A 24696-nucleotide genomic window follows, 5' to 3' on the forward strand; every position below is an offset into this window, starting at 1 on the left:
CCTCAAGTCACCTCCAGGTGGCTTTCTAGTATCCAGATGATGGGGACGCTTGCCAGGATCCACACCCTGTCTCACCTTGCTCACGATGTGCTTTGTTTCCAGGCATTTATGAGAGCGATGACATCAACTCCATCATGTCTGAGATGGAAAAGGCTCTCAACTACTCCCAAAAGGTATGCCCTGGGCATGGGCCAATGACTGCACTGCCTTTTGTATTCATTTCCTGGGGCTACCATAACTGCCACAAACTGGGTGGCTTAAAATAACAACCATTGATTCTCTCACTTCCAGAGGCTGGAAGTCTGAAATCAAGGTGTCAGCAGGGCCAGGCTCCCTCTGAAGGCTTTGGGTAGAATCTTTCCTTGCCCCTCCCTGGCTTCTGGTGGCAATTGGTGTTTGTTTGTTTGTTTGTTTGTTTGTTTGTTTTTAATTGCACTGGTTGCTCTTTTAAAATGGCAAGGAAGACTTTACTTAAGACTATTGCAATAGGGGAGAGAGACTGAACTCAACTCTAAATAATAGCAAAGATAGCTGGAGATTTATAGCCAATGAGCAGTCAGTGGATGGAAAAATTACTAAGAGAACTGGATAGATAGGATAGATAAAAGGATTCTTGTTAAACAGGGCTCTTGCTAAAGGCAGACCAAAGGCTTAGATGTCAAAAATAGAACTGGGCACAGTGGATCCCACCTGTAATCCCAGCACTTTGGGAGGCCAAGGTGGGCTGATCGCTGGAGCCCAGGAGTTTGAGACCAGCCTCAGCAACACGGTGAAACCCTATCTCTGTTAAAGAATTTTTTTAAAATAATTTTTTTAAAAAAGGTATCTCAGATGGGAGATGAAGAACTTGCTTGGATATCAAGGATGGGACAGGTCTCACTAAACTGACTTAGCAAAATTCTTTGCCAAAACTGAGTTCGGCAGGCCAAGGTCAAGGCCTCATTGAGAAGATGGCTTAGAGGAGCCGGCTAAAGTTCGGTCAAGGAGGCAGTCCTTGTCACCAGCAATCTCTGGCATTCCTTGGCTTGAGGAGCATAACTCCAGTCTCTGCCTCTGTCTTTACATGGCTGTTTTCCCTCCAGGTGCATCCCTTCTCCTCTTACATGGACAACAATCAGATTAGATTAAGGACCTGCGCTACTCCAATATGCCTCACCGTAATTTGTATCTTAATTACATCTGCAAAGACCCTATTTCTATGTAAGGCCACATGCACAGGTCCTGAGGGTTCAGACTTCAACATATCCTTTTGGGGGACACACCTCATCCCATGTCAGCTTCCCTCTTCATGTCCTAATCCACTGAGACCCAAGGCTTCAGAAGAAATGAGTGTCTCCTAGAAGCCATTGGTTTTAGGTCTGTGTGCTGCACATTCTGGCCTCCTTTGAGTTCCTTAAACACGTCAAGGTTATTGCTAAACCCATTCCTAAGCTCAGGGCCTTTGCACCTGCTGTTTCCTCTGTCCTTCCCATCCCAGACCTTTCATGGCTTGCTCCTTATCATTAGTTAGGGTTTTGTTTTTTGTTTTTTGGGGGTTTTTTTGAGACAGAGTCTCACTCTGTCGCCCAGGCTGGAGTGCCATTGTGCAATCTCAGCTCACTGCAACCTCTGCCTCCTGAGTTCAAGCAATTCTCCTGTCTCAGCCTCCCAAGTAGCTGGGGCTACAGGCACCCGCCACCACGCCTGACTGATTTTTGTGTTTTTTAGTAGAGATGGGGTTTCACCATGTTGGCCAGGCTGGTCTCAAACTCCTGATCTCAGCTGATCTGCCTGCCTCAGCCTCCCAAAGTGCTGGGATCACAGGCGGGAGCCACCACACCTAGCCTATTAGTTAGTTTAGACACACTAAAATGTTACTTCCTCAGAGGAGTTGAGCAGGACAAGATACAATGAGAGAGGTAGCTAGGAGCCAGATCCCGTGAGGAGCAATGACTATCTAAGGAAGAATTCCCCGGACTTGCAAGTGATTGAACGGGCAGTGTGAAAGAGAAAACATACAAACTGACCCCCACGCTCCTCACTGGAGCACCCAGTAGACAGTGAGGCCATTGACCAAGATGTAGAAAACAGGAGGAAGAGCCCATGGAAGGACGGAGAGGTGCAGGGAAGGCGGGTCTGGGACAAGGGTGAGTTTGTGGAGCCTGTGAGATAACAAGTGAGGGTACCCTACAGGCAGGTGGGAAAAGACATGGCTGGAGATGGAGATTTAGGGCAGTTCAAGCCACAGTGACGGACAGAGGGCACTTAGCAAGGCTGTGGTCGAGGCAGTGGAGTGGAGGAGCCTGTGAAGGAGACTCCTGGACTCCACCACTTGCAGAAGGACTCACTTCCCAGACTGGATTGTGGACTCCTGGGAGGGCAGGGCCACGTCTCCATCTTCTATTCCTCTGTGGCCACTGGATCTGCAGATCTGTGGCTCCCCCTGCGTGCCTGTGCTGTCTTCCCCAAAAGGGACCCTTTTGGTGCTTTTAAAATATCTCTTCCCAGCTGGGCGTAGTGGCTCATGCCTGTAATCCCAGCATTTTGGGAGGCTGAGGCAGGCAGATCACAAGGTCAGGAGATCGAGACCATCCTGGCTAACATGGTGAAACCCCGTCTCTACTAAAAATACACACACACACACACACACGCACACACACACACACACACACACGCAAAATTAGCTGGGTGTGGTGGTGCGCACCTGTAATCCCAGCTATTTGGGAGGCTGAGGCAGGAGAATCCTTGAACCCGGGAGGCAGAGATTGCAGTGAGCCAAGATCATGCCACTGCACTCCAGCCTGGCAACAGAGTAAGACTCTGTCTCTAAATAAATAAATAAATAAATAAATAAATAAGTAAGTAAATAAATAAATATCCCTTACCCTCAGGTGCACATAGTCCCATTCCCTCATCAGATAAACTGATACATATGGTGTTAATGGGCAATGACCGCATAATTCACCTTTCCAGAGGATGCTTATTTACATTTGAATGGTGTCTTCTGGAGCTTTGATTGAGAATAATTGCTGGGGAACCAGTCAGGCTGTTGAGAAAATCGTAGGCAAAAGGCATTGAGTATTACACCATTAGTCTGCCAGCATCTGGAATCAGCCCTGGCATGCGGCAAGCTGACTGGCCCACAAGTGGAGGCCACAGTGTCTCATAATGGAAGGGTGCTGGCTTTGGAAACAGACCCACCTGGTTTGAATTGAAGTTTCTCTACACACTGATAAGGTGGTCTTAGATGAGAACCTTAAGCTCACAGAGCTGTAACTGTAATAGATCTGTGGCCAGATATGCATGGCAAGTCAATGCACAGAGACACTGGGTTGCAGCAGAGAAAAGAAGTTTAATTATAGGACTGCCAAACAAGGAGATGGGAGGGAACCTCAAATTTGGTGTTAAGGTTTTTAAGGGTTTTGCAGTGGGCTGAAGTATGGAGATCACTGACTAGTTGAGTGCAGGCTGGAGTCATGGGCAGGGGAGATGAAGAAGCTGTGTTCTCATGCTGTTCCTGTTCCTCTGGGGGTCTTCAAACTGTTGGCATCAGCTGCTTTGCTGGAATTCGGGTCTGAAAAACATCTTAAGCAATTCTTAAACAAAAGCCTTGTGATTCTGAAGTCAGAAATCCTATCTAGAGGAACAACGGGGATGCAAACAGCCAGGATCTGGTGCTATGTGACTTTAGGTTACAAAGAAGTGGGGCTATGTGCAGCCTGATCAGGGCTTCATGATAACTAGATTTTTGTCCAGAATTCTTGTTAACTCTGTGATGACAGCTTCAGAGCTTTGGTTTCCTCATCTGTAAAATGGGGAGACGACACACCTACCCTATCGGCATAGCTGATGTGACTTGTTGGCATGAGGGTTGGAGACCCCCAAGTATTCACTAGCCCAGAGCCTGTGCCTCCCAGGCCCCCATACCTGGTCTTACTGTTGTTCATAGGATTGGTCCATAGCACTTTCAGCCCCAGGTGGCTTTCTAGGGACAAAAAGAGGAGTCCAGGGGACATCAGAGGTTCCAGTGGATACAGTCCCTCCTGCTGTGTGTGTGTGTGTGTGTGTGTCCACAGTGGCTGGGGGTGCCACTGACCCTCCCAATCCCACTGCAGTGTGCCTTCCTCATGGCCTCCCTGAAGAACCATTCAGGAAAAGTACTGGGAAGTTCAGCCCTCCCGAAAGAAAAACCAAAGACACTTCAGCTAAGAAGTCAGCCCAAGAAGCTCTGCCCTCCCAGGCCCACCGTCCCCCTGGGGGCCAGAATGGTTTGACTCCCCTCCTAATAACACGCAGAAGATTTGGTTTCCTGTTTGTCTTCTGGTCTTTCCTGGGTCTTAAAATGGCTGGGGCCAGCAGGGATGGGGGTGGGTGCTTCAGTGGTGAGTGTCCTGTGGGTGCCTCTTGCCCAGGCCTCCAGGGGGAAAATCTCCCGCGGGGGGCCGGCTCCTCAGCTCTCGGGGTCCTCTGTCCTCCCCCAACCCACCCTTGGCTCTGTCAGCCTATCCCAGCCTTTTCCCTACCCTGGTACTGAGGATGCCACAGAATTGACACCCACCTGTTTCATCTGATGGCTTATCCTGGAGAGTCTCTCGGGGGCAAAGGAATTATGGTCTCTAAGGGCTCTTCCCGCTGCCACCCAAGACTTTGCAGAGGCTGATAGGAGCCTGAGGGTGGGCTGAGCCTGCTAGGGGCTTATCCTCATTCACAGCCTATCAATTCTGTCCTCCATAAAATACCCACCCACCTTGGCAATCAGAAGGGCTCTAGAGGACAGACCCCAGAGGCACCTGTGCTTGTGAGCAGACTGGGAGGGACACCTGTGAGTCCCTCAGCATTGCATGACTCAGACCCTGTGAGCACAGCCCATGTTCAGAATGTGGAAATCCATCCCAGACAGTAGGTAGCAGATTTCCAGCCAAAGGGCTGCCTTTCCAGGAGAGCCTGTGCAGCCGGGTTCTGCCCTCGTTCGGGGAACTCTGCCAGGTTTCAGGAGCCAGCTCAGGCACTTCGCCCCCTCCTCAGAGGCTGCCTCTTGAGCCTTCAGTGCTTCCTGAGTGCCTCCTGAAACCAGGCCGGGTGCTCCCCAGACAGTGACTGTTTAATGACCGCCACACTCCAGTCGTGGCTGAGAATGAAGGAACTCTTCCCTTAAAACTGAGGTGTCTGGGCCAGGTGCAGTGGCTCACACCTGTAATCCCAGCACTTTGGGAGGCCAAGGCAGGCGGATCATGAGGTCAAGAGATCAAGACCATCCTGGCCAACATGGTGAAACCCCCTCTCTATTAAAAATACAGAAATTAGCCGGGTGTGGTGGCGGGTGCCTGTAATCCCAGCTACTCGGGAAGCTGAGACAGGGAGAATTGCTTGAACCTGGGAGGCAGAGTTTGCAGTGAGTCGAGATCACGCCGCTGCACTCCAGCCTGGGTGACAGAGCCAGACTCCATCTCAAAAAAGAAAACAAACAAACAAAAAAAAACTGAGGTGCCTGATAAGGCACAGAAGTTACCTAAATTTCTGTTGTCATGCTGGAGGCCCAGACATCCCAGTCCATTAGGAAGAGGGGCAGGTGACTGATGAAAAAAATTCTGGCAAACCCCCATAGCTCTCTCACTAGCAGCTCTCTCACTCTCATCTCACACACACACACATGCATACATACACATATGCACATGCACACACATACATATACACTCCTACACACATGTACACACCCATACTTTTTCACCTCAAAACCCAGAGTCCCTTCTGAATCTGCTGCAGGAGAGGGGCCAAACCTGTCTGAGGAGTCCCCTCCCTTAGGCTCCTCCCTACAAAAGTTCCTGATTGACAAATTGAGGTCAGGGTAACTGGGATCCTGCGTGACACAGGGAACACTCCTCTGATGGGAAAGATTGCCTGTTTTCTAGAGCATTAAAGATGACCCTGACAGAGAGAAGAGCCCCCCGCTGAAATCTCTGAAATGGCGTCCACTCAGTAGCAGAGTTGGCATCTCACCAGGTAAGGCACCATCACGGTCAGGCAGGGTGGAGGGATGTCACGGTCACGGCTGAGGCATGGGTTAATAATGATAGTAACTAGAGCCACGTGTGGAAGCTCGTGCCTATAATCCCAGCACTTTTGGAGGCTGAGGTGGAAGGATCACTTGAGGTCAGGAGTTCAAGACAAGCCTTGACAACATAGCAAGACTCCATCTCTACCAAACAAAAAAGGAGCCAGATGTGGTGGTGCATGCCTGAAGTCCCCCAAGTACTCAGAGGCTGAGTTGGGAGGATTGCTTGAGCCCAGAAGTTCGAAGCTGCAGTGAGCTATCATTGCACCACTGCACTCTAACCTCAGTGACAGAGCAAGACCCTGTCTCTACTTTTTTTTTTTTTTTTTTTTGAGACAGAGTCTCGCTCTGTCACCCAGGCTGGAGTGCAGTCGTGTCATCTCAGCTCACTGCAACCTCCACCTCCTGGGTTCAAGCGATTCTTGTGCCTCAGCCTCCTGAATAGCTGGGACTACAGGTGTGTGCCACCACGCCTGGCTAACTTTTTGTATTTTTAGTAGAGACGGGGTTTCACCATGTTGCCCAGGCTGGTCTACAACTCCTGAGCTCAGGCAATTCATCTGCCTCGGCCTCCCAAAGTGCTGAGATTACAGGCGTGAGCCACCACGCCTGGCCACATCTCTTAAAATAATAATCATAATAGCAATAATGATAGTAACTAAAACGATCAATGATCCTGAGTCTTGATCATGTGCCAGCCCATCTGCTAAGATTGTCCCATTTAAAGCCTATAATGATCAATCCTTTGCATCTGTATTCTATCAGCTTCCTATTGTACTGACAAAGGAACTGAGGCTCAGGGGGGTAAGGATCATGTGCCACTAGTGGTAACAGGCCTTCACAATCTTAATGAAAGTACTCAGCTCGTAGAACCTAAGACCATGTATTTTATTTCTAATGTCAAAGGTATGGCAGAGTGGCTCAGAGCAGAGTTCTGGAGTCAGCAGGACCAGGTAGAATCATGCCCTGCCTCTTACTGGTGGATTCCCACTTACCTTATCTGTAAACTGGGGGACTGTGAGGATGAAGCAAGGCAGCATACTCAAAGCACTTAGCACAATGCCAGGGAAAGATCTGGACTCAGTAAATGGTAGCTATAGCTATTTCTGATCCAAGCAAAGCCAGAGACCTGGCGGGGGAGGACACAGGGTGCCTTGAAGCCATCTTGGAGCCCCATTTCCTGGGGTGGAGTATAGCTGAACTTGAGTGTCTCTAAGCCAAGCTGGACAGCTGTATTGCAAGAATGCATGCAGCTGCTCCAGCCAACAAGCCAAATGTTCCTCAGCTGCGGCCCAGCCAACGAAAGAAGGGATGATGGAACTGAGGAGGAAGACCAAGTCAAGGGAAGCAGAGACATCTCTTTTACTGTTCTACACAGAGAAAGGGAATGACGTGGGTAAGTTAGAGGCTATACAGGTGTCTGGACAGCCCCCTGGCCCTGGGGGAGCTGTAAGGGCAGCAGGTACCGTGGGAAGGAGACCCCTCCTGCTGTCCCAGGACCTAGGCACTGGTGCCTCTGGAGCAAGCCGTACTCAACTCAGTTCTCCCAGCCCTGGGAAATGGACATGCAAAGTTTTGACAACAACCAGGGAATGAGAGAAGTCAATATTGAAGATGAGACCTCCTGAGATTCTTGGGCACTCCAGCTCTGTCCACTAGGGGCAGTTTCCTTAGCTCTAAGGCAGATGGCAAGGGATGGAGATGATTCCCCTAGGCCAGCCTGATTCACTGCTGTGAAATGGTGCAGATCCCAAGAACAATTCATTGCTAGGCAGGAGGTCCCAAACAGCCTTTCCCCATCCACCCAACAGCTCCCTTTCTACCTCTCAGCAAATTGCACTAAGGACTTTTACAACTGACTTGATTGACAGAGAAATTGACATGAAAAAGGGAGCAGTGGGAGATTCAGGGGGAGGGAAGAGAGGTACACAGGGTGACCATCTTAGTTCATTTGTGCTTGGAATACCCAAGGCTAGGTGATTTATGAAGAAAATAGGTTTTTTTAGCTCAGGCTTATGCTGGCTGGAAGTTTGGGCATCTGGTGAGAGCTTCAGGCTGCTTCCACTCATGGTGGAAGGCGCTGGGGAGCTGGCATGTGCAGAGATCACATGGAGAGAGAGGAAACAAGAAAATGGGGAGGTGCCAGGCTTTTATTTAACAGCCAGCCCTTGCGGCAAGTAATAGAGGGAGAACTTACTCGCTCCCCACCCTCTCACCAGAGAGAGCATTGATCTATTCATGAGGGATCCGTTCCCATGACCCAAACACCTCCCATTAAGCCCCATCTCCAACACTGGGGATCACATTTCATGAGGTTTGCAGGGGCTCAACCATCCAAACTATAGCAATGACCTCACTCTGCTTCTTCTAGGCTCAGTGTACAAGAAGTACCCTCAAGGAAGGGGCTTGAGAAGGACTAGCTCTTCTATTGACTTACCCAGAAAGGATACAGTTTGCTCAAGCCAAGAGGTATTAAGTCACCCATACTAGCACATGCCCATTAAGCAATAGAGTAGTTCTGTCCACCAACCATTACTTCTAGGATGGGGGGGCATAATCAGAAATGAGAACAAGCCAGGCACAGTGACTCACACCTGTAATCCCAGCACTTTGGGAGGCTGAGGTGGGTGGATCACTTGAGGTCAGGAGTTCGAGACCACCTGGCCAACATGGTGAAACCCCATCTCTACTAAAAGTACAAAAATTAGCCAGGTGCAGTGGCACGCACCTGTACTCCCAGCTACTTGGGAGGCTACATCATGAGAATCACTTGAAACTGGGAGGTGGAGGTTGCAGTGAGCCAAGATTGTGCCGCTGCACTCCAGCCTGGGTGACAGAGCAAGACTCTGTCTCAAAAAAAAAAAAAAAAAGGACAAACCTGATAAGAACAATTGCTTACTGTGGCAGATGGGATAAGGGTTAAATAGACCTAAATTCAAAATCTAGGTCTGCCACTTCCTGCCTGGGTGACCTTGGGCAAATCACCTAGCTATACTCAATCTCACTGCCTTTGTAAAATAAGGACAATTGTGCCAGTCAAATAAGATTGATGTGAAGATTCTTTAAAGTGAAATCAACAGAAATCCCACTTCTTGTGCATAAGGGGATAGTTGTCCCACAGCTATTCAATAAAAGCCTGAGCATGGTTCTGATTGTGCCGATGGCAGATGCCATCCCTGGCTGCTTTGAGCCTGCCCATTCTTGTGTCCCTCATTGTGACAAGGAGACTGAGATTATCCTAATTGGCTTAGAGTCTAAGCTTTAGACCAATCAGGGCTTTCCACTCAAATATTGTAGGTGGGGTGCTCACTTCAGCAGCACATATACTAAAAAATGTTGTAGGTGGGGTTGAAATGGATGTTAGGGAAGTAACAGTGTCCACTAGACTAGGGTCTGGGAGGTGCGCGATAGATTTTGTTCTTCACCCCCACTATTTCTTTCTTTCTTTCTTTCTTTTTTTTTTTTTTTGAGACAGAGTTTCACTCTTGTTGCCCAGGCTGGAGTGCAGTAGCACTATCACTGCAACCTCCGCCTCCTGGGTTCAAACGATTCTCCTGCCTCAGCCTCCCAAGTAGCTGGGATTACAGGCATGCACCACCACTCCTGGCTAATTTTTTGTATTTAGTAGAGATGGGGTTTCACCATGTTGGCCAGGCTGTTCTCAAACTCCTGACCTCAGGAGTTTGAGAACCACCGCTGTCAGCCTCCCAAAGTGCTAGGATTACAGGCATGAGCCACCGCGTCCAGCCTGCACCCCCATATTTCTTGTGCATTTCTCCCCCAAAGCCAGGGAAGGAATCTGCATGGGATGGATGCTCTGTGAGGACCTGGGAATCCCACATTTCAAACATCATACAGGTTTCAAACATGAGGTTCTCATAGACCAGTCAGATGATCATTCAGTTGAGTCTGAATTGCCTAAGATAATAGTTCTTTCCTTTATTCTAAAGTGGGTGGCAAAATATGGGCTCAAAAAATTGAAGCTGGAGATTTCCAGATGCATGGGTCCCAACTGCACTCATCAAAAGTCAGGACAGAGGTCAGCATCCGCCAAACACTGCAGCATCTTCCCCAGCGTTGAGATCCATGTAAGTCACAATTTTCATCATCGTCTTTTTTTTCTCCCCCAACTCAGCTGCAAATGGCAGAGAGCAGTGTAGGGCACTGTGGCCTCTATTTCTGCTTGTAGGAACTGCCCTCCTCCCCAAAGTGGGACTCCCCTCACCAAATAGGAGATGCAAAATCCTGTTGGAAGAAAAGCCAACTTCCCAGAGGGCCTAAGATCCCATTCCAGGGTTAGATGAGCTCATTGGAATAAGAATTATAAACAATTGCCGAGGCCAGGTGCGGTGACTCCTGCCTGTAATACCAAGTGCTTTAGGAGGCTGAGGTGGGAGGATTGCTTGAGCCCAAGAGTTTGAGACCAGCCTGGGCAACATAGCAAGACCCCATCTCTGAAAAAAAATTAGATTAGCCAGGTGCAGCTGTGTGCCTGTAGTCCGAGCTACTTGGGAGGCTGAGGCGGGAGGATTAGTTGAGTCATGGAGTTCAAGGCTGCAGTGAGCCGTGATCACGCCACTGCACTCCAGCCTGGGCCATGGGGCAGGAGCCTGACTCTTAAAACATAAAAAGGAAAAGATAGGAAAAATAGCAATTGCTGAGAAGATTGGGCCGTGGCTGAAGTGTTCACCCATAAGAATGCTGTACCCCAATACTGATGATGGTTCTGTTATGGCAGCAAATAGGGGTTGTGATAGGAAGTGAAGGGTTCTCTTTTCTATTTTCTAATTTTGGGGTGATTTTTTATTGCTTTGACACTGGAACAAGTAAATTTAGTACAGAATGAAAATCTGATCATTTCTCTCCTTGCCCTCTTATCCTACATTGTCAAGATTAGGGGAAACTAAAAATAGCCACAAAATTCAAAATTATTCACTAGAGGAATATAGGGTCATTCTAGCATGTTGCCCCTCTCCACCTGAAGTCATCTTTCAGTTCAAAATTTATGAACTTCTTACCCCACCATTTAGAGTTTTCTATTTTAAAATTTAGAGATTATTGGCCAGACGCAGTGGCTCATGCCTGTAGTCCCAGAACTTTGGGAGGCCAAGGCGGGCGGATCACCTGAGGTCAGGAGTTCGAGACCACCCTGGCCAACACAGTGAAACCCCGTCTCTACTGTAAATACAAAAATTAGCCAGGCATGGTGCTGTGCACCTGTAATCCCAGCTACTCAGGAGGCTGAGGCAGGAAAATCGCTTGAACCCGGGAGGCAGAGGCTGAAGTGAGCCGAGATCGCACCACTGCACTACACAGCCTGGGCAACCGACTGAGACTCTGTCTCAAAAAAAAAAAAAAATCAGAAATTATTATGATTTTTATTAATATAGCAACTGCATTTACCAAAAAAAAAATCTTAATTCCCTACTCCTTTGTAGAACCATAAATCCACTAGTTTAATAGAAGAAAAAAAGGCTTTAAACAAAAAAAAAAAATACACTTAACAGATGGTTGTTTTTTGTGGGTTTTTGTTTGTTTGTTGAGACAGGATCTTGCTCTGTCATCCAGGCAGGAGTGCAGTGGTGCAATCACAGCTCACTGCAGCCTCTACCTCCCTGGGCTCAGGCAATCCTCCCACCTCAGCCTCCCCCAAGCAGCTGGGACCACAGACACATGCCACCACACCAGCTAAATTTTCTGTTTTTGGTAGAGATGAGGTCTCCCTATGTTACCCAGGCTGGTCTTGATCTCTTGGGCTCAAGCGATCCTCCTGCCTCGGCCTCCCAAAGCGCTGGGATTACAGGCATGAGCCACCGTGCCCAGCCAACAAATATTTTGAGAATTGTTAACCACAATGGAATAAACAATTTTAGGGGGTGATGGGGATATGAAGAAATGACTGATGGGGTGGGTGCTTGCCTCTGCTTGCCTTAACCCAGGGAGTGGTGAGACACATCCAGTGGACGCCCAGGGAGATGGAGGTGTACATCAGGCACTTGGAGAAGGTGTTAAGGCGCTATGTCCAGAGGCTGCAGTGGCTGCTGTCCGGTGAGCCTGCCCACTGCCCTGAAGGGTGGAGGAGCATGAGGGGATGTAGAAGGCTAGCCCCAGGGACCCCAGTGTCAGTCCTTCCAAAGCCAGGCCTTCAAGAACTGCAGATCAGAGGATTAGGCCAGGAACATCATCCACATACAACATGACACTGGGAGGCCGGGCGTGGTGGCTCATGCCTGTAATCTCTGCACTTTGGGAGGCCAAGGTGGGTGGATCACCAGTCAGTAGTTCGAAACCAGCCTGGCCAACATGATGAAACCCGTCTCTACTAAAAATACAAAAAATTAGCCAGGCATGGTGGCGGGCACCTGTAATCCCAGCTACTCAGGAGGCTGAGGCAGGAAAATCGCAGAGGTTGCAGTGAGCTGAGATCGCGCCACTGCACTCCATCCTGGGCAACAAGAGTGAAACTCTATCCAAAAAAAAAAAAAATGACAGTGGGTTCAGAGGACAGGCAAGGGGCTGGATAACAGGGAGGTGGAACATGGGCCAAAGAGCCCCAGCGGGAGCTCACACGCATCCCAGCCTGCTCTGCAAGGCCACCTGCCACACCTTGCCTTCCTGCAAGTGACAAGGGGCTCACTGTCAAAAGGTTTGCTTTAATATTGACTGCGCCCCAGCAAAACAGCCCCTGGAGATGCAGATGGTAAGGGGAACTGACAGAGCAGAAACCCTCTGTTTTGTTTTGTTTTAGAAACAGGGTCTTTCTCTGTCACCTAGTCTGGAGTCCAGTGGTGCAGTCATGGCTTACTGCAGCCTTGAACTGGGCACAAGCAATCCTCCCACCTCAACCTTGCAAGGACCTGAGACTACAGGCACGTGCCACCATGCCCAGCTTACTTTATTTATTTTTTTTAGATACAGAGTCTTTCTATGTTGCACAGGCTGGCCCCGAACTCCTAGGCTCAAGCTATCCTCCTGCCTCAGCCTCCCAAAGTCCTGGGGTTATAGGTGTGAGCTACTGTGTACCTCTTTACAGAGAGCACCAAGTCCCCTCCAGGAGAGGTGAATGGACAGGGTTGGGCTGTGGATTAAGAGACGGTCTGGAAGCATCAAGCCCAAGAAGACAGGCAGACAGCTAGAACTGGACAGGAGGGGATTCGGGCTATGGGGCCTGGAGGGTTTCTGGGGCATCAGGAGGAGGGAGGAAGGGAGTCCTATATAGAGATCCTACAGGTGGCTTTGTACGTGCCACTCAGGGTCCTGTGTAAATTCATTAGGTCCAGTCCTCTGCAGTAGGACCTGGTATAGACAGTCCATGGACAGGGGCGTCATGATGACTGCTGCTTCAGGTACAGTTGTCAGGTCAGAGGCTGAGCTGGGACAGAGAAGGCGTGAGCCTCTCTCCACCCTCGGTTCACATTACCCCTGGGAACGGTGACATAAAACCAGAGATCCAGCGATTTCTTTTGTAGTATGAATCCCCCAGCTCACATACCAGTACACACCCAAACACCATCTAATATTTTAAAACAATGTCATGGTACTATTTAATCCAATCACTTAACTTTAAGGATAAGGAAATTCAAGCCCAGGAGGTTATAACCGCTTGTGCAACTCATCACAGACAAAGCCAGAGCTGAAATCTCGATCTCCCAAAGCCCAAACCACTGACCAGGTCTGTCCTTGGACAATCGACCCCTCCCACAGCACCACAAAAGCCGTCTCTCAGTGGGGTGACATCCAATCAATGATCAGGCAGGCAACAGGTGTCACAAGACTTTATACTTGATAGATAGAGTGAGGGAAACCACCCAGGAGGAGGGACCCCTCACTCCCTCCCTGCCTCTTCCCCACCTGTCTCGGAGCAGGGAGCCGCCGACTGTTTGGCACCGTTTTGGAGAGCAAAGTATGCATATTGCTGGACACGTCAGGGTCCATGGGCCCCTACCTGCAGCAGGTGAAGACAGAGCTGGTTTTGCTGATTTGGGAACAGCTGCGGAAGTGCTGTGACAGGTAGGAGGCGAGGGCTGATCAGGAAGATCAAAGGGGCAGTTCCTGGGGCTTCCCTGGCCAAGCACGCCCCCTCTTCTCAGTGCCAACAGGCCTGGAGTTTCTGAGATGCTCTTCTGAGTAACGCGTTTGAGTAGGAAAGAGCACTGTATTCTGCTCTGCTGTGAAGGAAATCAGTTTTTAGAGGCCGGGTATGGTGGCTCATACCTGTAATCCCAGCAATTTTGGGGGCCAAGGCAGGAGGATCACTTGAGCTCAGGAATTCAAGACCAGTCTCAGCAACAAAGTGTCATCCCATCTCTTCAAAACATTTAAAAATTAGCTGGGTATGGTGGTGTGCACCTGTAGCCCCAACTACTTGGGAGGCTGAGAAGGGAGGATCACTTGAGCCCAGGAGGTTGAGGCTGCAGTGAGCTATGATTGCACCAGTGCACTCCTGCCTGGGCAACAGAGTAAGACCCTGTCTCAAAAAAAAAAGGAACGCAATTTTTAAAAATTAATTTCAGGCCTAGGGACAATTGCAAGCACAGCAAAGGAACTACCATGTGGCCTTGAAGTATGGCTTTCAGCTGAACTTGATTTGTTTTAAATTATTTAATGATTTAATTTTTTTAATTTTTGTGAACTTGATTTTTGAGTGGAGGAAGTTGTTTATTTTCCCCATCCAGAAGGGTTGACCCGAAGGGGACCCCAGGGGACTCTCATCGTAGACTAGGCCTCGTTCTTGCCTTAATCAGAGTATACATTTATTGAGCACTTTCTGTGCACCAGATGCTTTACACGCATCATTTCATCAACTCTCACAATGAGCCCGTGAGGTGTTGCTGTTATCGGCCCCCATTTTTCAGAAAAGGAAGCCAGGACTTCAAGAGGTTAAGACACTTGCTGAAGATCGGGTAACCAGTCACTGGCTGAGATAGGATTGTTTGGGTTGTTTGTTTGCTTGTTTGTTTTGAGACGGGGTCTCACTCTGTCTCCCAGGCTGGAGTGCAGTGGTGTGATCATAGCTCGCTGCAGCCTCAACGTCCTGGGCTCAAGTGATCTCCCACCTCAGCCTCCCAAGTAGCTTGGACTACAGGCGCACACCACCATGCCTGGCTAATTTTTTAAAAATCTTTTTCGTAGAGATGGGGGTCTCACTATGTTGCCCAGGCTGGTCTTGAACTCCTGGCCTCAAGCAATCCTCCCAGCTTGGCCTTCCAAAGTACTGGGATTACAGGCACAGGCCACTGTGTCTGGCTTGGGCTGGGATTTAAATCTATTTCTGTCTGCATTCAAATTGTCAGTGTGTACCCTCTCATTCTCAAGAGGCCCCACAGCCCTCTCCCTGAGGGGCCACAGGGCTCGTTGTAGGGGTCTTCAGTGACGAGCAAGAATAGTCCTCATGAGGGTAACTTATCTGAATTCAATCTAGACAGGCCTGTTCTAACCAATCTCTTTCTCCCCTTCTCTGCCCCTCACCTCCTCTTTTCCTCCTCCCCAGTTTTAACCTGCTCAGCTTTGCAGAGAGCTTTCAGTCATGGCAGGACACGCTGGTGGAGACCACAGATGCAGCGTGTCATGAGGCTATGCAATGGGTGACCCACCTGCAAGCTCAGGGCAGCACCTCCATCTTGCAAGCATTGCTGGCAAGTCCCACCACGGAGCCCGACCTTGACGCAAAACAAATACCATCATCCCCTATGCTGATGCTGCACGATGCTTTAGGATTTACAAAGGGCGCTTTATAATTTACAAAGCACTACATCATTTCATCTTCCCAACACCCGAGTGAGAAAAGGATTCTCAATGTTCTCACATTATAGATGAAGACACAGGCTGGGTGCGGTGGCTCACACCTGTAATCCCAGCACTTTGGGAGGGCAAGGCAGGTGGATCACCTGAGGTCAGGAGTTCAAGACCATCCTGACCAACATGGTGAAACCCCGTCTCTACTAAATACAAAAGATTAGCCGGGCGTGGTGGCACATGCCTGTAATCCCAACTACTTGGGAGGATGAAGCAGGAGAATTGCTTGAACCTGGGAGGCAGAGGTTGCAGTGAGCCGAGATTGCACCATTGCACTCCAGCCTGGGCAACAAGAACGAAACTCCATCTCAAAAAAATAAAAATTAAAAAAAATAGATGAAGACACAGAGGCTCAGAGAGGTTAAGTGACTTGCTTGGGATTAACCAGCTAGGCAGTGAACCATGCTATTTCTCCTAAACCTCAGCAGCTTCCTTAGTCTGTCTGAGGCTGAAAGAGAATCTCAGTCTTTTTGAACAGGTCAGTGGCATCCAATCAGATGCATTTTGGCAGAGGCGGCAGCAGGCACTACCTTTAGGCATTTGGTTCTTGTGTTCTGGGTGAGCCTCTCCCCTGAGCCTGACAGCCTTCCTGCGTTCTTTCAGAAAGCTTTCAGTTTCCATGATCTGGAAGGATTGTACCTCCTGACCGACGGAAAGCCAGACACAAGCTGCAGCCTTGTCCTAAATGAAGTCCAAAAACTCAGGGAGAAAAGAGATGTGAAAGTGCACACCATTTCCTTGAACTGCTCAGACAGGTGCGCAATATGGAGTCTGACTGAGTTTTATTCTTTTTCCACAGCCACACATCTCAGCAGGGAGATCCAAGCCCCTCACCTAATCTAGCTGCTCACTTAGACACGGGTTTCTCCTGGGCCCTAATCCTGTAAATCAGAAATTAGGAGAAGCGGCCGGGCATGCTGGCTCACGCCTGTAATCCCAGCATTTTGGGAGGTTGAGGCAGGTGGATCACTTGAGGTCAGGAGTTCAAGACCAGTCTGGCCAACATGGTGAAACCCTGTCTCTACTAAAAATACAAAAATTAGACAGGTGTGGTGGTAGGCGCCTGTAATCCCAGCTACTCAGGAGACTGAGACGTGAGAATCACTTGATCCAGGGAGGCAGAGGTTGCAGTCAGCGGAGGTTGCACCATGGCACTCTAGCCTGGGCAACAGAGTGAGACTGTCAAAAAAAAAAAAAAAGAAAGAAAAGAAAGAAGTTAGGAGAAGCATTGTTTTTCTAGACGGCCCAAGCCGGTGTCACACCACAGGGTGAAAACCCCTCTCTTTACCCAGATATTTCCCTCTGACTTCCTCCAGCCTGGAAACACATTTGCAAGGGATTCACACAGTCATTTTACAGTCTCCCTCCTACTCTTCCCTGGGATCACATTTGTGAATATTTAGGGGACATTTAGGGGAAAAGCCAGAGAGAAAAATATTAATGTAGCATTGTCATGGTTATTTTTTTTTATAAACGATCACTATAGACCATGTGCTATGACCGGGCACAATGGCTCATGCCTATAATCCCAGTGCTTTGGGAGACTGAGGTGGGAGGATCACTTGAGGCCAGGAGTTCGAGACCAGCCTGGATATCATAGCAAGATTCCATCTCTACAAAACAAAATAAAAATGTGAAAAAGAACACATGTCAGATAAGACATACTCAGCTCCTTCAAAAAAAAAAAAACTTTATTATTAGCAAAACAGACTGCATAGGGACACATTTTATCTCTTGGTCTAAACCATGAGCCCCATAAGTGTAATATGTGTGTCCTTTACAGGCCTAACACATAGTAGGCACTGGATAAATGTCCCATAAATAAATGGGGGCTAGGCTGAGCACGACGGCTCATGACTGTAATCCCAGCACTTTGGGAGGCCAAGGCAGGCAGATCACCTGAGGTCAGGAGTTCGAGACCAGCCTGGCCAACATGGCGAAACCCCGTCTCAACTAAAAACATACAAAAATGAGCCGGGCGTGGTGGCAGGTGCCTGTAGTCCCAGCTACTCAGGAGGCTGAGGCAGGGGAATCGCTTGAACCTGGGAGGCTGAGGTTGCAGTGAGCCAAGATTGTGCCACTGCACTCCAGCCTGGGTGACAGACTGAGACTCTGTCTCAGAAAAGAAAAGAAATGGGGGCTGGAGTGTGTGGGCTGTGTGGTTTCAGGGGGTCCAGGCTAAATGGTGACACTCACACGGGGACTCCTCTTCCCTCAAGCAGCAGCAGTTGCTATAGCTGTCCAGAAGCTGGTGGGGAAAGTGTCCTCTAATGGTGGTCTCCATGGGACAAGCCACGGCCCATTGCCAGGCTGATTTCTCTTAAGCCCCACGGACTTAAGTTCCCCATGGACGTGGGGAGTCACACGAACTTGCCTGGTCAGTCAGCCTTCCCACCAGCCCTCTGTCCCTTCCTTCCAGAGCGGCGGTTGAGTTCCTGAGAAAGCTGGCTTCCTTCACCGGCGGACGCTATCACTGCCCTGTGGGTGAGGACACACTCTCCAAAATTCACAGCCTGCTGACCAAAGGCTTCATCAATGAAAAGGTAGGTTGCAGAGCCACTGAGCATGAGGTCTGTTGAAACGGCTCGATAAAATATCAACAGGCATGGGGTTTTCCTTCTTGAACTCCTGGGCTCAAGTGAACCTCCCACCTCGGCCTCCCAAAATGTTGGGATTACAGGCATGAGCCACCACGCCCATCCTGGGTTTTCCTTCTGACGAAAAAGATCTCTGCTTTTCGTTGAGACAAAATATTAGCTGAAAAGGATTGGGTTTCCCTGCTGCTGTCCTTTTAGGCTGACTCTCCTCAAGGCTGGGAAAGAAGCAGGATTTGAGGGTGTTATATTTCCTGATGGTCAGGCCAGTTTGCCTTTGTTGGAAATTTATGTGGCTTTATGTAGATAACCTCTTTTAATATTATACCCATTTAACAGGTGAACGAGAGGGCCAGCAAGGTTTAAGAATACACCTAAAGCTGGGCACGGTGGTTCACACCTGTAATCCCATCACTTTGGGAGGCCGAGGTGGGTGGATCACTTGAGGTCAGGAGTTTGAGACCAGCCTGGCCAACATGGTGAAATGACGTCTGTACTAAAAATACAAAAATTAGCCAGGCATGGTGGCATGCACGTGTAATCCCAGTTACTCGGGAGGCTGAGGCAGAATTGCTTAAGCCTGGGAGACCCAGGTTGCAGTCAGCCGAGATTGCGCCACTGCACTTCAGCCTGAGTGTCAGAGCAAGACTCCGTCTCAAAACAAACAAACAACAACAATAAAAACTAGTCAGAGGAAGTGGTATAGCTAGAGCCCCAAGACACCCATGATCTTAAACTTTGTGCTTTAATTCCTGCATATTTGTGTCTTCTGGGGTTCAATTCATTGAAATACAGACATTCAAGTTATCTGTTAAGCAATAGATCTGGCAAAGTCATAGGTTATCTATTAAGTAATAAGTCTAGTAAAGTCATAGATTTCAATGATCCACTTCTGACTTAATAGGAAAATTCTGCACTTATTTATACCTTTTAGGAATGCAATGTTGTCAGTGATAACATTCCCAGCGCAACAAATTATCAAGTAAGACAACCAATCAGAATTCCAGATTTCTTTTCAGAGGTTAAAGGTTACTTTCACAGGACATGGCATAATTTTTTTTTTTTTTTTTTTGAGACAGGGTCTCATTCTGTTGCCCAGGCTAGAGTGCAGAGGAACAATCACAGCTCACCACAGCCTCCACCTCCTGGGCTCAGGCAATCTTTCCACCTCAGCCTGCAGAGTAGCTGGGATCACAGGTGTGCCACCACGCCCAGCTAATTTCTTTAATTTTTTGTAGAAACAGGATCTCACCATGTTGCCCAGGCTGATCTCAAACTCCTAGGATTAAGTAATCCTCCCGCCTGAGCTTCCCAAAGTGTTGGGATTACAGGTGTGAACCGTCAGGCTCGGCTGGCATAATCTTTGAAGCCTGGGTAGCCTTACATGACTCCTTTGGTTCAACTAGCTCTTCTAGGGACAAGTATTATAAATAATACAGAGAACTGAACAAATTGGTAAAAGTAATGAATATTCACCCAAGCGTCCTTATTACACAGGAAAACAAGTGATGATATGTTTAAGGCTCTCAGCTTAATTCCTTATCCAATCAGATTCTCTGAATTGTTTTTGCATGCAGAATGGGATTGCTGTGCTACTACTGCCAGGCAGAAGGGATGGCTTCCTCTTTTTTCTTTTTCTTTTTTTTTTTTTTTTTTTTTTTTGAGATGAAGTCTTGCTGTGTCACCAGGCTGGAGTGCAGTGGCATGATCTCAGCTCACTTCAGCCTCTGCCTCCTGGGTTCAAGTGATTCTCATGTCTCAGCCTCCCGAGTAGCTAGGATTACAGGTGCCTGCCACCACACCCAGCTAATTTTTATATTTTTAGTAGAGATGAGGTTTCATCATGTTGGCCAGGCTGGTCTCAAACTCCTGACTTCAAGTGATCCACCCGCCTCAGCCACCCAAAGCGCTGGGATTGGTAAGATGTATTTTTAAGGATAGGTGGCGAAATTTTATTAGTTAACATTTTTTTTAAAAAGCATGCCTCAGCCGGGCGCGGTGGCTCACGCCTGTAATCCCAGCACTTTGGGACGCCGAGGCGGGTGGATCATGAGGTCAGGAGATCGAGACCATCCTGGCTAACAAGGTGAAACCCCGTCTCTACTAAAAATACAAAAAATTAGCCGGGCGCGGTGGCGGGCGCCTGTAGTCCCAGCTGCTCGGGAGGCTGAGGCAGGAGAATGGCGTGAACCCGGGAAGCGGAGCTTGCAGTGAGCCGAGATTGCGCCACTGCAGTCCGCAGTCCGGCCTGGGCGACAGAGCGAGACTCCGTCTCAAAAAAAAAAAAAAAAAAAAAAAAAAAAAAAAAAAAAGCATGCCTCAGCCAGGTGTGGTGGCACATGCCTGTGGTCCTAGCTACTTGGGAGGCTGAAGTGGGAGGATAGCTTGAGCCCAGGAGGTCGAGGCTACAGTGAGCCGTGATCACGCCACTGCCCTGCAGCCAGGACAACAGAGCAAGGCTCTGTCTCTAAAATCAACCAAATAAAAAGCATACCTGTAAGTCTACTTCACTAGAAGAAATGCAAAAAATGGCTGAACAGATTCTACTGAATAGCGCTGAGATAAGGAAACGGTGTCATTTCTGTTCCACTGGACCAGAGTGGGGCCACTTTCACTCAGATTCTGACACCATCGTACTTTGCCACCGTCCCCTCCCTACACTGACTCTCAGACACCATATTTCAAAGTTTCCCCTTTGCAGAATGACTGTCTTGATAGGTAGTGAGCTTCCTGACCCTGGAGATATACAAGCAGAGGCTCACAAGATTTCCTGCACTGGATGGAAACCAGAACGTGATTAGCTCTAAAATGCTTTTCCTGAGATTTTGGATTTTCAGCTCCCATCCAGTCATAAACTTCACACTCATTTCCTCTTTTCAAGGATCCCACATTGCCACCATTTGAAGGAGATGATTTAAGGATCCTGGCCCAGGAGATCACCAAGGCCAGAAGCTTCCTCTGGCAGGCCCAATCCTTCAGGTATGCCCTTCACGCAGCCTCTCCGGCCTGCCATGTGGCTACAGCCCATGCAGACCCCGGACCCCATCGAGAAGGGCCGCACCCATGATGGTACCCTTGCTCCAAGGGTTCCTGCCCTGCTTCTCCCAGCCAGCCCAGAAATCTGGGCACCAGGGAGACCATCTTTCTTCATCTCCTGCCCACCAGATCCCAACTCCAGAAGAAAAATGATGCAGAACCAAAGGTCACTCTTTCCTAGAGAAGTGTTCTCAGGTAAGGGGAGGGGCTAGACCCCATACTACCTGAGTGTGCACTAAGCACCAAGTGGCATGCTCTATTTTGTGGTCAATAATAACTTTGGTTAAAAAATAATGATTCCTCTAAACAGAAAAGTCATCCTGCAAAGGACCACTCACTGAGCAAATCTCAGCCCCGAGGGCAGGATGGGATGAAATGCTGTGACCTGCAGGAAACATGATTCCTGGTACCAGGACTCTCTGGAAGCTGAGGAAGGAAAGACTTTGTCTTTTGTGTGAGGGGCCATTCCCGGGTCTTAATCTAACTCTCCAGCCCTGTCCCGCAGCGCACTCTACTCTCCAGCCACTAGATTGTCCCTCTCTGGGAAGCCCTAAACCAACCCCCTGCCTAAATGGTGGTGCTTCTTGCAAACCAACCCCCTGCCTGAACGGTGCTTCTTGCCCCCTCTGCCTGGAGACTCCTGCTCATCCATCAAGGCACAGCTCAAATGACATCAGCTCCCTGGGACCTATCTAGAGCGAGGGGCCTCCAGTCTTTCTCTTGCAGCATCCTGACCACGCAGACCTCTCGCACTCAGCACTCTATGTCACGCCACCTTGCTCGCTGATCTAACTCTTCTCCTTGATGGTGAGCTCCTTCGGGATGAGACTGGTGTCCCAGGATCTGCAGGTCCCCAGAAGCTGCCACATAGGAGACACATGGTGAACAGTGAGCAGGCGGCTGAGCTGTGAGAGCCTAGCTCTGGAAAGCAGCTGATGGGGTGGTCTCCACCCTGGTTCATAAGAGGCTAATGCAGAGTCACAGTCAGCCCATCCTGGGGGAAGAAGAAACAAGTGAGCCTCAGCACCACCCTCCATCCCTGCCCAACCAAACTGAAGTGAAGGCTGCTCATCTGGGTTCATTTTCTAAAATTAAAAACAATTAATTTTATTCTACTAATAGGATCAACATGACTTTAACTGTTTGAAGTGATCATTGGCGTGTGTGTGTGTGCATAAATTTTTAGTGACATAAAACTTTATTAAAAGACTCATACCATAATAAAGAATTTCAATAAGAAAAAGATAAACATCCATTTTTTTGTTTTTTTTGGAAACAGAGTCTCGCTCTGTTGCCCAGGCTGGAGTGCAGTGGTGCAATCTCGGCTCACTGCAACCTCCGCCTCCTGGGTTCAAGCAATTCTCCTGCCTCAGCCTCCTGAGCAGCTGGGACTACAGGGGCCTGCCACCACGTCTGGCTAATTTTTGTTTTAGTAGAGACAGGGTTTCATTATGTTGGCCAGGCTGGTCTTGAACTCCTGATCTCAGGGGATCTGCCCGCCTTGGCCTCTCAAAGTGCTGGGATTATAGGCGTGAGCCACTGTGCCTGGCCCATCTCAATTTTTTTTTTTTTTTTAGGCACAGTCTCACTCTTTTTGCCCAGGCTGGAGTGCAGTGGCACGATCTCAGCTCACTGCAACCTCCGCCTCCCAGGTTCAAGCGATTCTCCTGCCTCAGCCTCCCGAGTAGGGTAGCTGGGATTACAGGTGCCTGCCACCACGCCCAGCTAATTTTTTTTATTTTTATTTTTAGTGGAGACGGGGTTTCACCATGTTGGCCAGGCTGGTCTCAAACGCCTGACCTCAGGTGATCCGGCCCGACTGAGACTCCCAAAGTGCTGGGATTACAGGCATGAGTCACCGCGTCCAGCCCATCCAATTTTTAAAATGGACAATAGGTACATGAAAAGGTGCTCAACAGCCTTACCTGCCAGGGAAGTGTAAATTAAAACCACAGTGAGATGCCACTACACTCCCACTAGAATGGCTAAAATAAAAAAGACTGGGGTTGGGCACAGTGGCTCATGCCTCTAATCCCAACACTTTGCGAGGCTGAGATGGGAGGATTGCTTGATGCCAGGGGTTCAACACCAGCCTGGGCAACATAGCAAGACCCCATGTCTCCAAAAATTTAAAAGAAATTAGCCAGGCATGGTGGCCCAATGCATGTAGTTTTAGCTGCTCAGGAGGCTGAGGCATGAGGATCAGTTGAGCCCAGGAGTTTGAGACTACAGTTAGCTATGATTGTGCCATTGCACTCCAGCGTGGGCAACAGAGTAAGACCCTGTCTCTTAAAAACAAACAAACAAAAAGACAAGATGGCCAGGCATGGTGGCTCACACCTGTAATCCCAGCACTTTGGGAGGCCAAGGTGGGCGGATCACATGAAGTCAGAAGTTTGAGACCAGCATGGCCAACATAGTGAAACCCCGTCTCTACTAAAAACAACAAAAATTAGCTGGGCATGGTGGTGCACACCTGTAATTCCAGCTACTCAGGAGGCTGAGGCATGAGAATCGCTTGAACCCAGGAGGTGGAGATTGCAATGAGCTGAGACTGGGCCATTGCACTCCAGCCTGGGCAACAGAATGAGACCCTGTCTCTAAAAACAGAACAAAAAAAGAACTACAATATCAAGATGTGGAACAGTTGGAACACTCATATTCCAATTAGGGTAGGGGTTGGGGTAGGGACGTATAATTTGACTCAATAACTTTGGAAGACTATTTGGCAATTTCTACTAAAGTAAAACATATGCCTACTCTATGATCTAGTAATTCCACTCCAAGGGTAATGAGTGCATATGTTAGACAAAAGACATATAAGAATTTTTCCAGCAGCCTTATTCATTAGAGCTCAAAATTGGAAACTACCCAATGTCCATCAGTGGCAGAATGTGCAAATAAAATCTGATACATTTTACAGTGAAATATTATGCATCAATTTAAAAAGAATGAACGGCTCATGTGGTGGCTCACACCTGAAATCCCAGCACTTTGGGAGACCAAGGCAGGTAGATGGCTTGAGCCCAGGAGTTTGAGACTAGCCTAGGTAACATGGTGAGAACCCATCTTTACAAAAAAATACAAAAATTAGCCAGGCTTGGAGGCATATGCCTGTAGTGCCAGCTACTCAGGAGGCTGAGGTGCAAGGATCACCTGAGCCCAGGAGAGGTTGAGGCTGCAGTGAGCCTTGATCATGCCACTATACTCCAGCCTTGGCAATAGAGTGAGACCCTGCCT

The 24696-nt window shown here is 48.7% G+C and overlaps 1 protein-coding gene across 18 annotated transcripts in view; it reads left to right on the forward strand.

The window, feature by feature from the left end:
* The window catches only part of VWA3A (von Willebrand factor A domain containing 3A), a 64424-nt gene extending 41725 nt beyond the window's left edge, over positions 1-22699 (forward strand). For 8 of the 18 annotated variants that reach the window (XM_011545742.4, XM_047433629.1, XM_047433627.1 and 5 more), the window contains 15 exons: positions 103-173; positions 4095-4247; positions 5889-5979; positions 7317-7427; positions 8403-8500; positions 9982-10119; positions 11971-12079; positions 13306-13377; positions 13897-14041; positions 15522-15666; positions 16430-16581; positions 18246-18369; positions 21302-21399; positions 21586-21651; positions 21767-22699. In XM_011545742.4, coding sequence (XP_011544044.1) covers positions 103-173; positions 4095-4247; positions 5889-5979; positions 7317-7427; positions 8403-8500; positions 9982-10119; positions 11971-12079; positions 13306-13377; positions 13897-14041; positions 15522-15666; positions 16430-16581; positions 18246-18369; positions 21302-21399; positions 21586-21637 — 1559 coding nt within the window. In that variant the 3' untranslated portion in view covers positions 21638-21651; positions 21767-22699. Of the gene's footprint in view, positions 1-102; positions 174-4094; positions 4248-5888; positions 5980-6937; positions 6985-7316; positions 7428-8402; positions 8501-9981; positions 10120-11970; positions 12080-13305; positions 13378-13896; positions 14042-15521; positions 15667-16429; positions 16582-18245; positions 18370-21301; positions 21400-21585; positions 21652-21766 lie in introns of those variants that run through there. The other 10 variants (XM_047433630.1, XM_047433632.1, NM_173615.5 and 7 more) reach the window with 8 other exon arrangements.

The sequence above is a fragment of the Homo sapiens genome, chromosome 16 (assembly GCF_000001405.40).
Source record: "Homo sapiens chromosome 16, GRCh38.p14 Primary Assembly".
Lineage (NCBI taxonomy): Eukaryota > Metazoa > Chordata > Mammalia > Primates > Hominidae > Homo > Homo sapiens.